This window comes from Homo sapiens, chromosome 6, assembly GCF_000001405.40.
Source record: "Homo sapiens chromosome 6, GRCh38.p14 Primary Assembly".
Taxonomy (NCBI): domain Eukaryota; kingdom Metazoa; phylum Chordata; class Mammalia; order Primates; family Hominidae; genus Homo; species Homo sapiens.
In genome coordinates, this window is record NC_000006.12 from 104,784,380 (window position 1) to 104,800,510 (window position 16,131).

The 16,131-nt window shown below is 35.3% G+C and overlaps 1 protein-coding gene across 18 annotated transcripts in view; it reads right to left on the reverse strand.

The window, feature by feature from the left end:
• HACE1 (HECT domain and ankyrin repeat containing E3 ubiquitin protein ligase 1) overlaps nt 1–16,131 on the reverse strand; it is a 131,826-nt gene that overhangs the window by 56,286 nt on the left and 59,409 nt on the right. For all 18 annotated transcript variants that reach the window (NR_146787.2, NR_146789.2, NR_146790.2 and 15 more), the window contains 6 exons: nt 12,550–12,646; nt 12,276–12,377; nt 11,200–11,306; nt 7,125–7,275; nt 606–940; nt 38–106 (listed from right to left, as the gene is read on the reverse strand). Coding sequence is in view for 11 of the 18 variants with exons in the window: in NM_001350555.2 (NP_001337484.1) it covers nt 38–106; nt 606–940; nt 7,125–7,275; nt 11,200–11,306; nt 12,276–12,377; nt 12,550–12,646 (861 nt within the window). In the remaining 7 variants the exon portion in view is untranslated. The remainder of the gene's footprint in view (nt 1–37; nt 107–605; nt 941–7,124; nt 7,276–11,199; nt 11,307–12,275; nt 12,378–12,549; nt 12,647–16,131) is intronic.

The following is a 16,131-nucleotide window of genomic DNA, read 5'->3' on the forward strand; positions in this document are numbered from 1 at the left end:
AGGCTAGCAGGGTACTCCACAAACCCAGAAAGCTTACCTATTAACAAAGCATTTTAAAACTTCATCATGTTTGCAGACAAATTCAATGAAACGAGGTGAAGTCATTCTGTGGGGGGAAAACATCAATCAGAATACACAGGCAAAAGTTTGTGATATAATATAGCGAACTTGATAAATATATACTGAACTGGACTGGCTTCTAAACCAAAAAAAAAAGAATTTGGTTTTGAATCTTCTTTGTAAGTTTAGGAAACTGAAGTATGCCTAGCCAATTTGTAAAATGATTCTAACTTCTCATCAGCAGACGATATCAACAAGTGACTTTTTAAAAATCTTGAAATTTGGTGCATTTCTGCTCTACACATTTCAAATACATAATTAAGAGATCCTATACAAGGTGACATTCACCATTCTACAAAGTAATAATATATACTGCTTAATATTTAAATATTCCCTACTAGATCTAGATTAGTATGAGTATCTTAAAACAAGGAGAAAACTTTAAATCAACAAATTATTATTTGTTGTTTTTGAAATTACAAAAGTATCACTGCTTTTCATCATCTATCAGAGAAAAAAAAAATAATAAGCCAAAACTTTCTTACCCCGGAGGCATCTGACAAGAACAGCACATGTAAAAAGCTTGAATGACAGCACTTAGCCGGTTAGCTGTCATAGAAATAACATCCTGACAATCTGCACTGGCTTCCTGTCTCCCTGCAAGAGCATCTGGTTTAGATTCCCTTGTGCCAGTGGACAGATTTTCATAGCTCCCAGGTCCTGGAGGTTCAAATGGAGGAATGGAAGCAGCATCTTGATCTTGGCCTTTTTGTTTCAGTAAAATAGAAGTGATCTCTGTTGAGTCTCTTTTGTTTTTCATCAATTCTGTGGCTATTAAAACTAGCCATTCATCTAACGAGTGCCAAAGCAATTCCAGAGGCTGAGAGAAACAAAAGTGTTTTTTAAACATCATTCTTAAACTACAGGATTAAAAAAAAAAAAACAAAACACAACTAGACAAATATTATAGAAGAGAAAATTTACTCTAGTCATTTCTATCTTCCCAAGTTAACGTGATAGTAATGCCTAAAGGTAAGTAATAAAATTATACAAATGCTACATAAATGACAATTTCTTCATTTATGGCAATAATTTAATTTGTATGTATGTATTCCTTGTAATAAAAAGGAAAAACTAAATCTAACAAAAAATTCACAATCTTTCTTCTTTTAATTTTCAAATGTTTAGTTTTAAAAGCACACATTACTACTATATATAATCACCCTTAACATTTACTGTATTAATATGATCAATGTCAACCACTTTCAATTAAACAAATAAGATTTTTTCAGTTAAAAAATGAGAACCCCTAAGTATAATCACTCAACATTTTCTGTATTAATATGATCAATGTCAACAACTTTCAATTAAACAAATGTCTTTTTTCAATTAAAAAATGAGAATCCCTAAAGAACCTAATGAACAGCTTTTTTACTGTGCTCCTTTCATTACATATAATTCCTAGAATTTGGATAATTTTTGACAAGAAATTACAAAATGTGGCATATTTATGTATATACATATACTTACAGACACAATCCATTTCTAATAATTAGTGTTTTTTTAAAACAAGAGATACAATTACCAAACTTCTATTAAAATACTGACTAGCAGGCCGGAGATGGTGGCTCACGCCTGTAATCCCAGCACTTTGGGAGGCCGAGGTGGGTAGATCACTTGAGGTCAGGAATTCGAGATCAGCCTGGCCAACATGGTGAATTGAAATCCCATCTCTACTAAAAATACAAAAAATTAGCCAGACATGGTGGCACACACCTATAATTCCAGCTACTCGGGAGGCTGAGGCAGGACGATCACTTGAACCCAGGAGGCAGAGGTTGCAGTGAGCTAAGATCACACCACTGCACTCCAGCCTGGGTGACAGGGCGAGACTCCATCTCAAAAAAAAAAAAAAAAATACTGAGTAGCAAATTCTTAATTCCAAGTAAAGATTAACACCTTTCTATTAAAAAAAAAAAAGATGAGGAGAGAATAAACTATTTCCTATTATTATTCTAGCTGGGTACACAGGCATGCACTTGTAGTCCCAGTTACTGAGGAGGTTGAAGGGGGAGGATTGCTTGAGTCTCGGAAGTCAAGGCTACAGTGAGCTGTGATCATGTCACTATACTCCAGCCTGGGTGAAAGAGTGAGATACTGTCTCCAAAAAAAAAAAAAAAACAAACAAACAAACAAAAAAAAAAACCTGCTAGGATATTTTTAATCCCAAATAAAGATTAATAGTTTATAAGTGGTACAGTGGTTAAACAATCCCTTCATCCTACACTATTTTAAATATTCTTATTGAGAATGATTAGCTATCCTTCTGCAAATAAATATAAAAGTTTATCTCACTTTTTGAATCTGACATGATTACAGAATGCTACAAACTACACCATGTGCTACAGAAAGACTCACCTTTAAAATATTTCAAGGAAAGAAATAATCTTTCTTTTAAAGACCGCCATGGAAGGAGATTATACAACCATATTTGGAACCTTAGAAAATGTTTGAACTATTCTGCCAGGAAATTCTTCCCAATTATTATCTAACAAATACCTTCACTGCCACTTTCAGCCTTTCTTCAGATTTCTGTAATATTCTCTTTTTGAAAATATTTTACTTACTGAATTTGCAAATAATTAAATCACCTCAGGCCTTCATTTACACGTTCAACCAAAAAGCAGAAAAACACAACAAAACCAACAAAACCACCACTACTACAATCAACAAAAACCTAGTTCACTCACTCAACCAGTACTATGCACTAGGTAGTCGGGTTAAGTACAATGTTTCCTTTTTTAAGAGAAATTATACCCTCCTTCGAAGTTAAAGTAAGCATCCCTCTCACCCGTAATGAGGGCTCTTCCATACTCACAACGGTTGACAGATTTGGAGTCCCTGAACTGCTTAAAGAAGGGCAAGAAGCACCCAGCTGCCATAAATACTGACAGATACCTTCACTGAAAATTCTAATCATGATCCAAGTTGAAACTATAGTTTCTCTTTATGAGCAAAACACTGAACCTGCTGTAGAAGATGAAAAGAACTTATGTCAGCAAAACTATTTAGCTTTATATCAGAAAATGAACTTCTGAAATGGAAAGAACAGGTGGTGATATAAAACTGCTTGAAACAAAAAGAAAAAAGAATAATTGGCCTCTAAATGAGAAAAGATAAAACCTAGAAAATCAACACACTGAAAGGAGGTAAGGCCTAACGCAAGAAATGACACAGGCTGATCATGCAGATGAGCACTGAGTCTAAACCAACAGTGATCCTATTTTCAAATATTGACAATGTGTAAAAAATGAAAGACAAATTTTCAGTGGTGCAGAAATAACACCAAAGAAAAAAATGGATATGTGTAAAAGTGACAACAAAGATGTCGAAAAGCCAGAGTTTTTAATAAAGGAACACAGCAAATAATTAGAAGAATGAGAAAAAAAATAAGATAAGTAATAAACCACATTGGACCTTTCTTTACTTTTCTCTCTTTTCTTACCTTTTATTTCTTCAATCATACATACATTAAAACTAAATCCCAACCTTGAGGTGAGTTTACCTAGGAAGTTTTCTCTTTGAAGATCTATTCAGAAAATTCATTCTTCAATCACAAAAAAGAATACTATGAAAATAACTTTAATTTCTAACTATGGTAGCAGCCACCAACAAAAAGGATTCAAATAAATTTTAAAATTAAAAATAAACCATTGCATACTATATCTGATACTTTCTATATTCATAAATAATAAAATACATTAAATAAGAAACACCATACATACCATTTGTTACCGAACAATGAGTTAATTACTACTGAAAATATTAGCAGGTTTCTTGGTACTGTGAAAATACTGCTTCATTCATTATTATTGAGTGATCCTTACTGAAGAATTATATTCTACATATAGTAACAATGATATGCCAATCATACATGATTTATAAGCATTTTAAGTCATATTTCAAAATATACAATCTCGAGCTTACTGAACGATTTTTTAAAATTTCAAGAAGTGCTGAAATGAGGAATGAATTTGGCAGAAAAGTATTATTAACTTAATGTTCATTCATAGTACATTGATATCCTGTTAGTCTGACTATTCTTAACCTAATGTCAAATGCCACAACCCACAAGATAAGATCTTGAAGTTAAAAGTTTCACAATCTTTCTTGGTTACCAAAATTTCCAAATTGTAAGTCTATGAAACCATTAATAGTCACAGCTTACTATTCACAAAAAAAGAACACAGCAAGACTCAGGAAGCCTAAATTGTCTTCCCCATGTTCACTGTGCTTCAAAAATAAAAATGATCTTCTCCTTCAAATGCTCCAAATTTCCCAAGGCACTAGATAAACATCTCTTAATGCTGAAAGAATGGCTATGTGTTAAGACTAACTTGAAGAACTTCTAAAATAAATCAGAAAACTAATAACAGGATGTTAAACAATTTCACCTACTAAAAACACATGGCCTATAAACCCACTCATTCTTAATGGAAAACCCATTAGTTAATTTGAACAATAAAGTAGCATTAGAGTACCTTGTTAATGAAATGGAAATTAGGGATCAATTGCTACCTCAGACAAAATGTGGTAAGAATTAAAATGGTATTTCCAGTCTAACATCACAGCAACTCAGTAACTAGCAAAGATTTTTACTTGAAATCACCCCCACAATGAACAGGAGATCTGATTCCCATGGATGACAATGTACAGTTTCTATTTTTATCCTTGTAAATGGAAGGGCAGATCATTTTGCCAATCCCCAAAGATTCCATGTTTCATTCATAAAACTGAATGAAAAGAGACTAATAAATTCTTTAACAGTTAATACTTATTAATGTGTTTAAAAACTAGCTGAGTTTTACAATTAGTGTTTTACAAAATGGAAGTTCAAAATTTAAGAGAAAATAAGTGATGAGAAGAAATAGTAGTTGTCAATGCTGTAGAAAGCAGTACCTTAAAAAATGAAACAAAGATACCAACAAAATTCTTGAAATAAGAAAGTATTTATATATTATATATATCATAGACACATGACAAAACATAAAGTCTGGGTTCTATTTTTTAAACATAAGCTAAAAAGGAAAAACAGATATCCTTTTCTACTCTATTATGTCTGTATTGACTGTGTAGGTAGAAAACTAACATTTAAATCAATATTTAAATCATTTAAATCACCTATAGAGAGGCTACTTAACACATATTTTCTGATATTAGCTAACAGGTAGCAGATCGAAATTTTAACCAAAGAAATCAGACAAAATTAAATATAATCTAACCCAATTTGAATAATATTGACCACATCTATACCTGATTTGATTTTATATTCATCATTACTGATGAGTAGAAAGTATGAGTCAAAGTCAAATCATGGGTAGATTCCGTCACTAACAAAGTGAGCCACGCCAGAACACATTAAAAACAACTTTGTGTGATATGAATGTTTGAAGCAGTAAAGCTTGCTTAAAACAGCCCTGACAAAAAGAGTAGGTCAATAATGTAGATCAAAATTTTACAAAGACAGTAAGTCGTCACTCCTAACTAGAGCTCAAGGAAGTGGTACGTGAAAAGCCACATGAATTACAAGAATGCATAACTTCATTCTTCCAGGAGGTGGCACAATAAGAAAAAAAAAAAAGAAAACAAAAATACACACTCAACGTGCACACACACACATACATATATGGCTAAAAACTGTCCTTCCTAGACTGATTTTTTTAAAGAGAGTAAAACAGATGGACAGACATTCATACATAACCTTTCTAAAAGACTACCATATCTATTCTAAGTATTAATCTACTAGTGTCAAAGTTCTTGCAAACTTTATTTTTACCTTTTTGCAAAAATTTTCCATGTAAGGAAAGAATCATTTAGTATAGAACACTAGTTTAGCTTTGAATTTTAGAGACAGCAAAGCTTTCAATCCTAACTAGTTTTCAAGGAAGTGGCACATAAAAACATTTATATCACTTTTTTGATAAATAACCTATATTTTATACTCAAACCATTGTTTAAAGAAATGTAAGTTGGCTGGGTGCAGTGGCTCACGCCTGCAATCCCAGCACTTTGGGAGGCAGAGGCAGACAGACTGCTTGAGCCCAGGAGTTCGAGACTAGCCTGGGCAACATGGCAAAGCCCCATCTCTAACAAAAAATACAAAAATTAGCCAGGTATGGTGGCATGCACCTCTAGTCCCAGCTACTGGGGAGGTTGAGGTGGGAGCATCACCTGAGCCCAGGGAGGTAGAGGCTGCAGTCAACCATGATTGTGCCACTGCATTCCAGCCTAGGCAACAGAGTGAGGCTCCGTTTCAAAAAATAAATACATGAAGAAATAAAAAACACAAAGTTATTAAATTACACATTTTTCTAAAATCTGTTACTTTAAAATGTCACCCAAAAAAACATTAACAAGAGCAATTATAGTCCTATTCATTTTGTTTACTTCATAAAATTATAATTTAACATGAGTAGCAAAACTCCCTTGGTTTTTACATGAATCTTCCAAGGACTTCATCCATATGTGCTTAGAAAGGCAGCTGAAGCAATACAAAATATTTTAAGAAAATATCTCAACAACTCTTCCTTGCAGTTATCTCAGGAATTAACTGTCAGCAAACCCAGTAAATGAAAGTACCTTACTTTGAAAACACATACAGACACACATCTAACACACATATCATATTAAAATCTAAATAAAAACTGTGCATTTTATTTCCTTACTAATAAGAAATACATTTCTTTCAAAAGCATGGTGGCTGCATATTACATTAAAAACCTATAATTTAATAAAATTAATTTTAAACACTAAATATCTCTACCCTTAGAATAAAACACCAATGGAATAAAAAATTTTATTTGTAAGAAAAATACAGAAAGCTCACCAACTTGCTGTTGATTAGACAGAGTTGAGAGGAGAAAGGTGTGCCTAATTTTGAAAGTGATATGGGTATAAACCAAACTTACAACCTGTTCATGAGCTTTCTGATTAATGAATGCATGCTTTGTCAAATTCATCTCTTTTACGTCTATCTTCCTAACAATGCCATATACTTTTCTCACCTTGAACACCTGGCTTCTTGGAGTTTTATTCCCATTGTAGCCCATATCAATTCCATTACTGGGGGAGGATGGACCAATTCGAAAGACGTGACAAAACATTCTCACAATCCTTAAAAGGCTCTTCATTTGAGCATCATAATTGCTAGAGAGGCTGAAAATAAAAATTAAAATATGAGATTAGAGTAAAACAAATTACATATTAAAATACTTATTTTAAAACATTTTCATCCCACTGACCATCTGTTTCATATTATAATGTAACTGGAGTACAATTCCTTTCCTATCATGATAGGAGATAGAACAGTTTAACAGGAAGTTACATTATTTAACTTGCATATAAATAAATTACTATTTCTTAAGCACCCAGAATATAACCAATGATCAAAGCATAAAACATGAAGAAAATCACTCCTTTAGAATAGTTGGTTTCTTGTGGCAACAACTTCAAGGCAACTCCTAAATTTTTACTTTCAGAAGTATATTTGTAAATTAAATTTATACTTTAGAAGTCTGTATTTCACAGAGAAGCAATGGTATAAATCATCATATTCTTAGGCCAACCCACAACTGTTTTAACGAAGAAGCTAAACTAAACTCTGCCACTATATCCATAATCCCATATCCCCTTCCCACCACAGAATAGTAACAAATTATTCACATATAGAACATTCACAAATTGAAAAATTTAAAAGTTGCTATCTGCATTAGGTTTGTTCTCTACGTAACGGGCTGCCTTATGACTATACACAAATATAGGAAATATTTGCCTACCATGAAAAAAGAAAAGACTAAAATTCAATTAACACTAAATCATATTAAATTAACATAAACTCACTTTTACTGATCAGAAAGCCCTTCAGAATCCCACAGTTACCTTGGTATTGGTCAACATCATGAATACCAATAATTACCTTTCCACAGAAAAACTGTACGAGTTAGGCTAAATTTGTATTGAATCTAATAATATATCTTTAAACACAGTATTTTTGTTGGTTGATGGTGGTTTTATTTTGAAATCTCTAACATCAGTTATCTTGTATCACAAATGTCGGAGCAAAGCAAAGAGTTGCATGAACTTCTGCGCAGAACAGCAGGATTAACTTTGTATGTTGGAGGCCAAAAGGGTGAAGGTCATGATCAACTCAGTATACCACTGGAGGCTATATGAGTAAACAGCCAACTGTTCTCATAAATGCAGGATGCTGGCAAACTGAAAAACTGCATCTGCCACCCAGAAGGAATGCTGAGGGCAGTCACGACCCAGGCATAAGTATTTCTTGTGATTAGGTACATCTGAAGCCTGTTAGCAATAATATGAAGCTGTGATCAATCAAGCAGCTGACCAATCATTTGCTCCTCCTCCCTGCTCTTTCTACCCAATAAATACCAAGGGCTGCAGAAGCTCAAGGTTGTTGCTGCCTTTGCTCATTAGAAGCACGGAGCTCTCTTCTTCCCCGGCCCCTTCCTTTAAAATAGTTGCTTTTGCCGGGCGTGGTGGCTCACGCCTGTAATCCCAGCACTTTGGGAGGCCGAGGCAGGCAGATCACGAGGTCAGGAGATCGAGACCATCCTGGCTACACAGTGAAACCCCGTCTCTACTAAAAATACAAAAAATTAGCCGGGCGTGGTGGCAGGCCCATGTAGTCCCAGCTACTTGGGAGGCTGAGGCAGGAGGATGGCATGAACCCGGGAGGTGGAGCTCGCAGTAAGCCGAGATCGCGCCACTGCACTCCAGCCTGGGCGATAGAGCGAGACTACATCTCAAAAAAAAAAAAAAAAAAAATTAATTTCCTAACTCAAACCCCTATCATTGTAAAATCCTCGCCTTTGGTTTATATGGGTATATTCTTATTCAGTGTCTTACTTAGCATATAGCTATGATTTCTCTGTTCATTTCCACATTGTTAACTACCTTTACTTTCAATCATAAATATATAGAAAGGACGATAAAATTTCATTTCAATATAAACATAGCATTATGTGCAAACGCCTCAGTAAATGTTTATTATCTTTAGCAAATATTCCTGAAATCAGTTAGATAATAGGCTACAAATTTTTCCAAAAGTGTGCTGGATAACACCTTAGTTGTCACTAATTAACATATATTTGAATCAGTTATTTTCTTAATGAAAATTTCTATTAAAACAAGGGTCAACATTACTTCACATAATGGGTTAAGAAACATAAAATGATTCACAAATAAACACAAATGAGATACTCTACAAAAATACCATTAAACATAAATCAGCAGGGGGAAACAATTTGTATTTGAAATCATCTTAAGAATTACCTTTTTACAGTACAATAAATTCTAACTAATAACCAATACTCACTACCAACCCCAACAATGAGATATTTACAGGCCAAAAATGGCCATAAAAATAAGATTCTATAAAGCACTTGGAAGGTAGCACCATAAGTGGTGAGAGAGCACAGTTTAGCAGAGTAATTTTTTAAAAACTACTATTGTTTTGGTCATGGGTTCCTTTTTCCTACCCTGTTTCTCCTGTCCCACCAACCACCCCTGTCATTTTTAGAAGCTAGATTAGAACCTAGAATCCGCTATTTACTAATGAGGATATAAATCCAGGTTTATTTATTAGCTTGGCAAATCATTTAACTTCAATTTTTTTACATGTAAAATGGAGATAACATCTAAATTATAAAGTTACTGTAAGGTATAAATGAAATAATATATTCGAATGCTCCTTAGCTTGGTACCTGCTTAATAAGTGATGAAGGTAAACTTAAAAACATAGATACATCAAAACATAAATGCTTTATAATTACTGTGGAAGTATATATAATATGACAAATATTTAAGAAGAAAAAATAAGTTTTCTAATGTAGGAAAACAGGTTAAATGGTATTATAGGGTACTTAAAATTATAACCATCATCACCTCTACTATATACTGGACCCACTGTTTTGCATTTTACAGAATTATCTTATTTCACTCTCACAACTCATAAAGATATTGCCAGTTTCCAACAAAATGGAATAAAATCCAATAAAATCCTGATTAGACTGTAATTTCAACATAGAGATCTTGTCTGTTTTATTCATGATCACCTCACAGATGGCCTAATGGATGGTACGCCCTCAAAAATATGTATTTGGCCAGGCGCATTGGCGCACGCCTGTAATCCCAGCACTTTGGGAGGCCGAGATGAGCGGATTGCCAGAGCTCAGGAGTTCAAGACCAGCCTGGGCAACATGGCAAAACCCCATCTCTACTGAAAATACAAAAAATTAGCCGGGCGTGGTGGTGTGTGCCTGTAATCCCAGCTACTTGGGAGGCTGAGGCAGGAGAATTGCTTGAACCTGGGAGGTGGAGGTTGCAGTGAGCCAAGATTGTGCTGCCTGGGTAACAGAGTGAGAGCGAGACTCTGTCTCAAAAAAAAAAAAATAATTGTATATATGTGTGTGTGTGTGTGTATACATATATACAATTTCTTGCAGGCTAAGAAATAATAAGACAATAATCATTTCTCAGTGGCTGCTTATTCCTAATTGGGGTAGCCAGCCACATAGAAAGAAGTGTAGCTACAGGAAAACACTTCATATATAAATTCAAGTAATATAAGGCATTAACTCCACGAACTTAGTGATGATAAAACCACAGGATCTTTTAGAAATAATAAAGAACTTAACTGAGGGGGACAGGTCAGAGAAAAAAACTTTATAAGGAGTCATGAAAGTACAATGAAAGGTTAAACAGTAGCTTGTACCTAATTTTATTTTATTAATTAGTGGTCAAGATTCCTGAACTTTCTCAATTCTTCTTCATGTACATTTACTTATATGTCTAGGTAAGTAATCATTTCACAAAATTCTAGACACATATGCCCAAATTCACTGAAGTATGCTCTATTTTTAGTCTCTTTAGAGAGACTAAAATCTCTTTAGCAATAGTTGATTACCCTGGTCCTTTCAAACAAAACAAACCAGAAGTCAGCAAATTTTTATAACATCGTTATCACTGACAAAAGGTATCCCACAGAATAAACTACTCAGGAGGTGAAGCCAACAGACACTGCTACCTATTGATTTCCTCTTATTGCGAAACACTTACCTAAGCAGTTTATGACCATTTGTTGTAGCAACTTCAGCAAGGCTTGTTAGAATCTTTAGGTACTGGCTTTCACTTTGCTGAGACAAATGCTCCAGAACTTGCCGTAACTAAATTTTTTACAAATAAAAAAATGTGATTACATAGTAATCCATTAAATCTTATCAAACAATTAAGTACCTATTAAGTATCTTAAAGCCAATTAGTCTAAATCAAGTCCTTTAGTTATTTTGTCTTGCATAAGTTTAAAAGCTAATATAGAGATATGATGATACATAATAAAATCTTTGTTGAAAATCACCCAGTTACAAAACAATAGTAAATATAGATAGAATTTAAAAATCACCAAGTATAGTTTTGGAAATTTAATTCTAAACCTCTAAAACGAAAGAGAAATTTAAATTCCGCAATTTTTCTAAGACTAAAACTATCACAAACACATAGCTGAGTAAACTAGTGATTACCAATCATAATGATATTCCTCCACAGAGTCTTTTCCTCTTGCCATGGGAATATTATTATTTTATTTTTATTTTTATTTTTTTAAAGATAGAGCATCACTGTATCGCCCAGGCTAGAGTGTAGTGGGCAGTGACATGATCTCGGCTCACTGCAGGCTCAACCTCCTGGGCTCAATCCCTCCTCCCAGCTCAGCCTCCCAAGTAGCTCAGACTACAGATGCATGCCACTACACTTAGCTAATTTTTGTAATTTGTTTTTAAGAGACTGGGTCTTTGTTGCCCAAGCTAGTCTCAAACTCCTGGGCTCAAGCAATCCACCCACCTCAGCCTCCCAAAGTGCTGGAATTACAGGCGTGAGATACCACGCCCAGCCTATTCTAGTTATCTTAAGGAGAGACCAAAGACCCAGAGGGCAGAAGATTTATATGGCCAAATATTAGCAAAAACTATATTAATTATTATCTAATTCACACTTATCCTATAATGCAGATAAGCTAATTATTAAGATATTTGTGACAATAAGCAAAATTACTAAGCTAAGCACATTTGTAAAATGTCATATATGCTGAGCAGGAATAAAGCTTCTTCATTTACAAGCTACTATCACAAATACAATACCATGTTTTCTCGGAGGTCTTCATTCTGTGTCATTTGAATAATAGTCTGAAAAAGCCTCGGGTGATATTGAATTAATACTTCACAAGTCTCTCCATATCCACCCTAAAAACAAGATCTAAAATTATCCAGGTTTAAAAACAGTCCCTTTTAAAGTTCATATTCTTCACACAATAAAAATCTTTGCACCTACCCTTTCATTGAAAAAATAATAATTTTTACCATTCCAGTTTCTATTATAAAGATAAGGGGCTCAGAATATAAATGAAAAACACACCTGTACACATAAATCCAGAGGAGTTACTCCATTTTTATCTGGCAGATATTTGGCTCCTCGTAATAGTAGGATCTGTGCTGTATCTCTCTGACCATGACTGTGTGGAAATAGAAACAAGTTAAAAATACAATCTTTTTAAAGTCTTTCTCTATGAATTATGGATAGTTAATATGAGTCAATGGAAGAGTATCACTTTTAAAAATTAAGACAAGAGAATATGAAATACATCTTCATAATCACAAAAACTTTCTCAATGTTAAGCCATGCTTTCACTACGTAGACCAGAATGTGACCTATTAAATTTTAGAACTGAATTTGTGTCACATTTCCTAAAATAAGTCATAATATTTTGGGGATAAGTAACTACTAGTCAGGCTTCTGCTTTTTTTTTTTTTCTTACATTCACTTCCTAATCCCTCTCTCCACCTTAACTTGACCATTTGCAACTTTAGCCTGACCTTCTTCCTACCACACACATCCAAGTCTCTAGGCTTCTTAATCCAAAAGAACCTCAAGAGTCAGAACAAAAGTACATTTTATGGCACACTTGTAATACTTTGTAAAAAAAAAAAAAATTAAAAGGAAGGAAGGAGAAAAGTAAAACCAATGTAAGAGAATCTGGGGAAAAAGGGAACATGAAGTGGGGTTATTAGCCAAAAATACTATCTAGCTTTCGATCTTCATTTTATCAACCCACTCAGTTTGGCTTCTGCAGATAGGTATTCAATCTGCCCTAGAATGAACTCTCCTATCCATATGCCTCATTCCCTGATTGCCCTCCTTCTTGTAGAAGTAGAATTGTGTAACTATCACTCCAGGGAAATTAATGTTAACAGCTGATTCTTAAGAAATGCCCAGGGCCAGGCATGGTGGCTCACACCTGTAATCCCAGCACTTTGAGAGGCCGGGGTAGGTGGATCACCTGAGGTCAGGAGTTCCAGACCAGCCTGGCCAACATGGTGAAACCCTGTCTCTATTAAAAATACAAAATTAGCTGGGCATGGTAGCCGGTGCCTGTAATCCCAGCTACTTGGGAGGCTAAGGCAGGAGAATCACTTGAACCCGGGAGGCAGAAGTTGCAGTGAGCCAAGAATGCCCCACTGCACTCCAGCCTGGGTAACAAGAGCAAAACCCCGTCTCGAAAAAAAAAAAAAAGAAAGAAAGAAAGAAAAGAGAAGAAAAGAAATGCCCAAATAAGTTGTACAGTTTGGAAGAGCATGAATCCAAAAAGAACTCTGTAGATGAGAAAAGCAAGTAATCTAAGCACAGGTGAAACTAGAACTCAGGTACCTGGGCTTCTAGACCTATACTCTTTCCACAATAACATTACCTAAAGAGGCATGTCATTTCACAAAGAAAAACACTACACAGATTTCTCAGAAACTTAAAAAACAAAACACTATTCATTCTCTTTCACAAAACGGCACTGTATGAAGAATAATTTAAAACCAATTGGAATTAAAGTTTTTTTAAAAAAAACTTAATAGTATCCTACTACGAATCTAGTGCCAGAAAACTCTGCAACGTTATTATAGGTCTATCACTCTCTTGATACTTTATTATTATACTGATTATCTTCCTTAATACCAATAAGCCCTAACTTAAGAATAATATCTAATTTATTCTAGAAAAATCAAAAAATAAATTAGCAATCCCTTTGAAAGCAACAATAATCAGCTTTACCGGCATCAAGCAAGAAGTCCTCATCAAGCATCACTTGTCATTAAGCTCAAAGTGTTGGTCAAGATGTTATAAACAATAGCTAACAGTGGTTAATGTTTCATTTACACTGTTCCATTCTTTAACACGCCTAAAAATAGAGGCCAAGTGAAAAGCAACTAACTTGAGCTTAATTTATTTAGGGATATAGTGATACTTTTGCTAGTAGCCAAGGTTCTGAGGAATCCATCTTATAAAACTGCTGAGTTCAATTTTAATGATATCTCTTTTACAGTTCTTTAATATCCATGTGTCCAATTTTTTCCAATTAAATTGTAAACTTCCTGACAGTAGGCTTGTTCCATAGCACCAAGCATGGCAGTTGTCTTATAGCATGTACTCAATACATTCAATGAATTGTATTATAGGCTTTAATTTCAGACACCATTCATTTGACAAATAAGTATTAAAGACAACGCTGCACTCTAGAAAATAACAAGAGACCTGAAACACAATTTATTTAGGATATACTAGGTAACAAGCATTATGCTCAATCCTCTGTGCAAAGTCTGACTTAACGGTGACACTGTTATAAGCATTGTTAAATTAAGCAAACAGGAGGCCATTAGCCTGAGACTGTCACTATACTTTTGAGTTCCTCTGTAACAAACTTCAACCTAACTTGGGAGTATATATTTTGCAACAAAGAGCAGTTTCAATGAATCAGACAGCCAATTCTTCACACCATGACCAAATTAGGCAAACACACACATAAGGGTAGTCAGTTGGGTGATTTCTCTACTTTGCTTCCATATTCAGCCTACAAAAGCTCATTACTTACAAATTGCTGGGAAGAGCTCTCTCACCCGCTTCTGATTCTGAGTGCTGCCTGATTCATGAATTGTTTTTCATTTAAATAAACTTTAAATTTATTTTTTCTAAGATTTTTATTTTAACAGTATTCACCCAATTTTTCAGATGAGAAAACCATGGCTCAAGAGTATAATGGAGTTGCTCGAGATGAACAGTTACATGGCAGACCAGAATTTGAATCTGCATCAGTCTGACTCCAAAATCCTTCAACAATATCATGCTGCTCTAGCAAGATAAACAGAGATTGCCCTTTATGTTTTATAACCTTTAAAAGTAAACAATTTAGTCTCAAGACTCCCATTCCAAGATGGCCGAATATGAACAGCTCCGGTCTGCAGCTCCTAGCATGACTGACACAGAAGACGGGTGATTTCTGCATTTCCAAATGAGGTACCTGGTCGATCTCATTGGGACTGGTTGGACAGTAGGTGCAGCCCACGGAGGGTGAGCACCTCACTTGGGAAGCTCAAGGGGTCAGGGGATTTCCCTTTCCTAGCCAAGGGAAGCCGTGACAGACTACCTGGAAAAACGGGACACTCCTGCCAAAATACGGCGCTTTTCCCAAGGTCTTAGTAAACGACACACCAGGAGATTCCATCCCGTGCCTGGCTCAGCGGGTCCCATGCCCACAGAGCCTTCCTCACTGCTAGCGCAGCAGTCTGAGATAGTCCTGCCAGGCTGCATGCAGCCTGGCGGGGGTAGGGGCATCTGCCATTACTGGGGCTTGAGTAGGTAAACAAAGCGACAGGGAAGCTCAAACTAGGCGGAGCCCACTGCAGCTCAGCAAGGCCTACTGCCTCCATAGACTCCACTTCTGTGGGCAGGGCATAGCTGAAAAAAAGGCAGCAGATAACTTCTGCAGACTGAAATGTCACTGTCTGACAGCTCAGAAGAGAGCAGTGGTTCTCCCACCACAGCCTTTGAGCTCTGAGAACGGACAGACTGCCTCCTCAAGTGGGTCCCTGACCCCTGTGTAGCCTAACTAGGAGACACCTCCTAGTAGGGGCAACAGACACCTCATATAGGCGGGTGCCCCTCTGGGATGAAGCT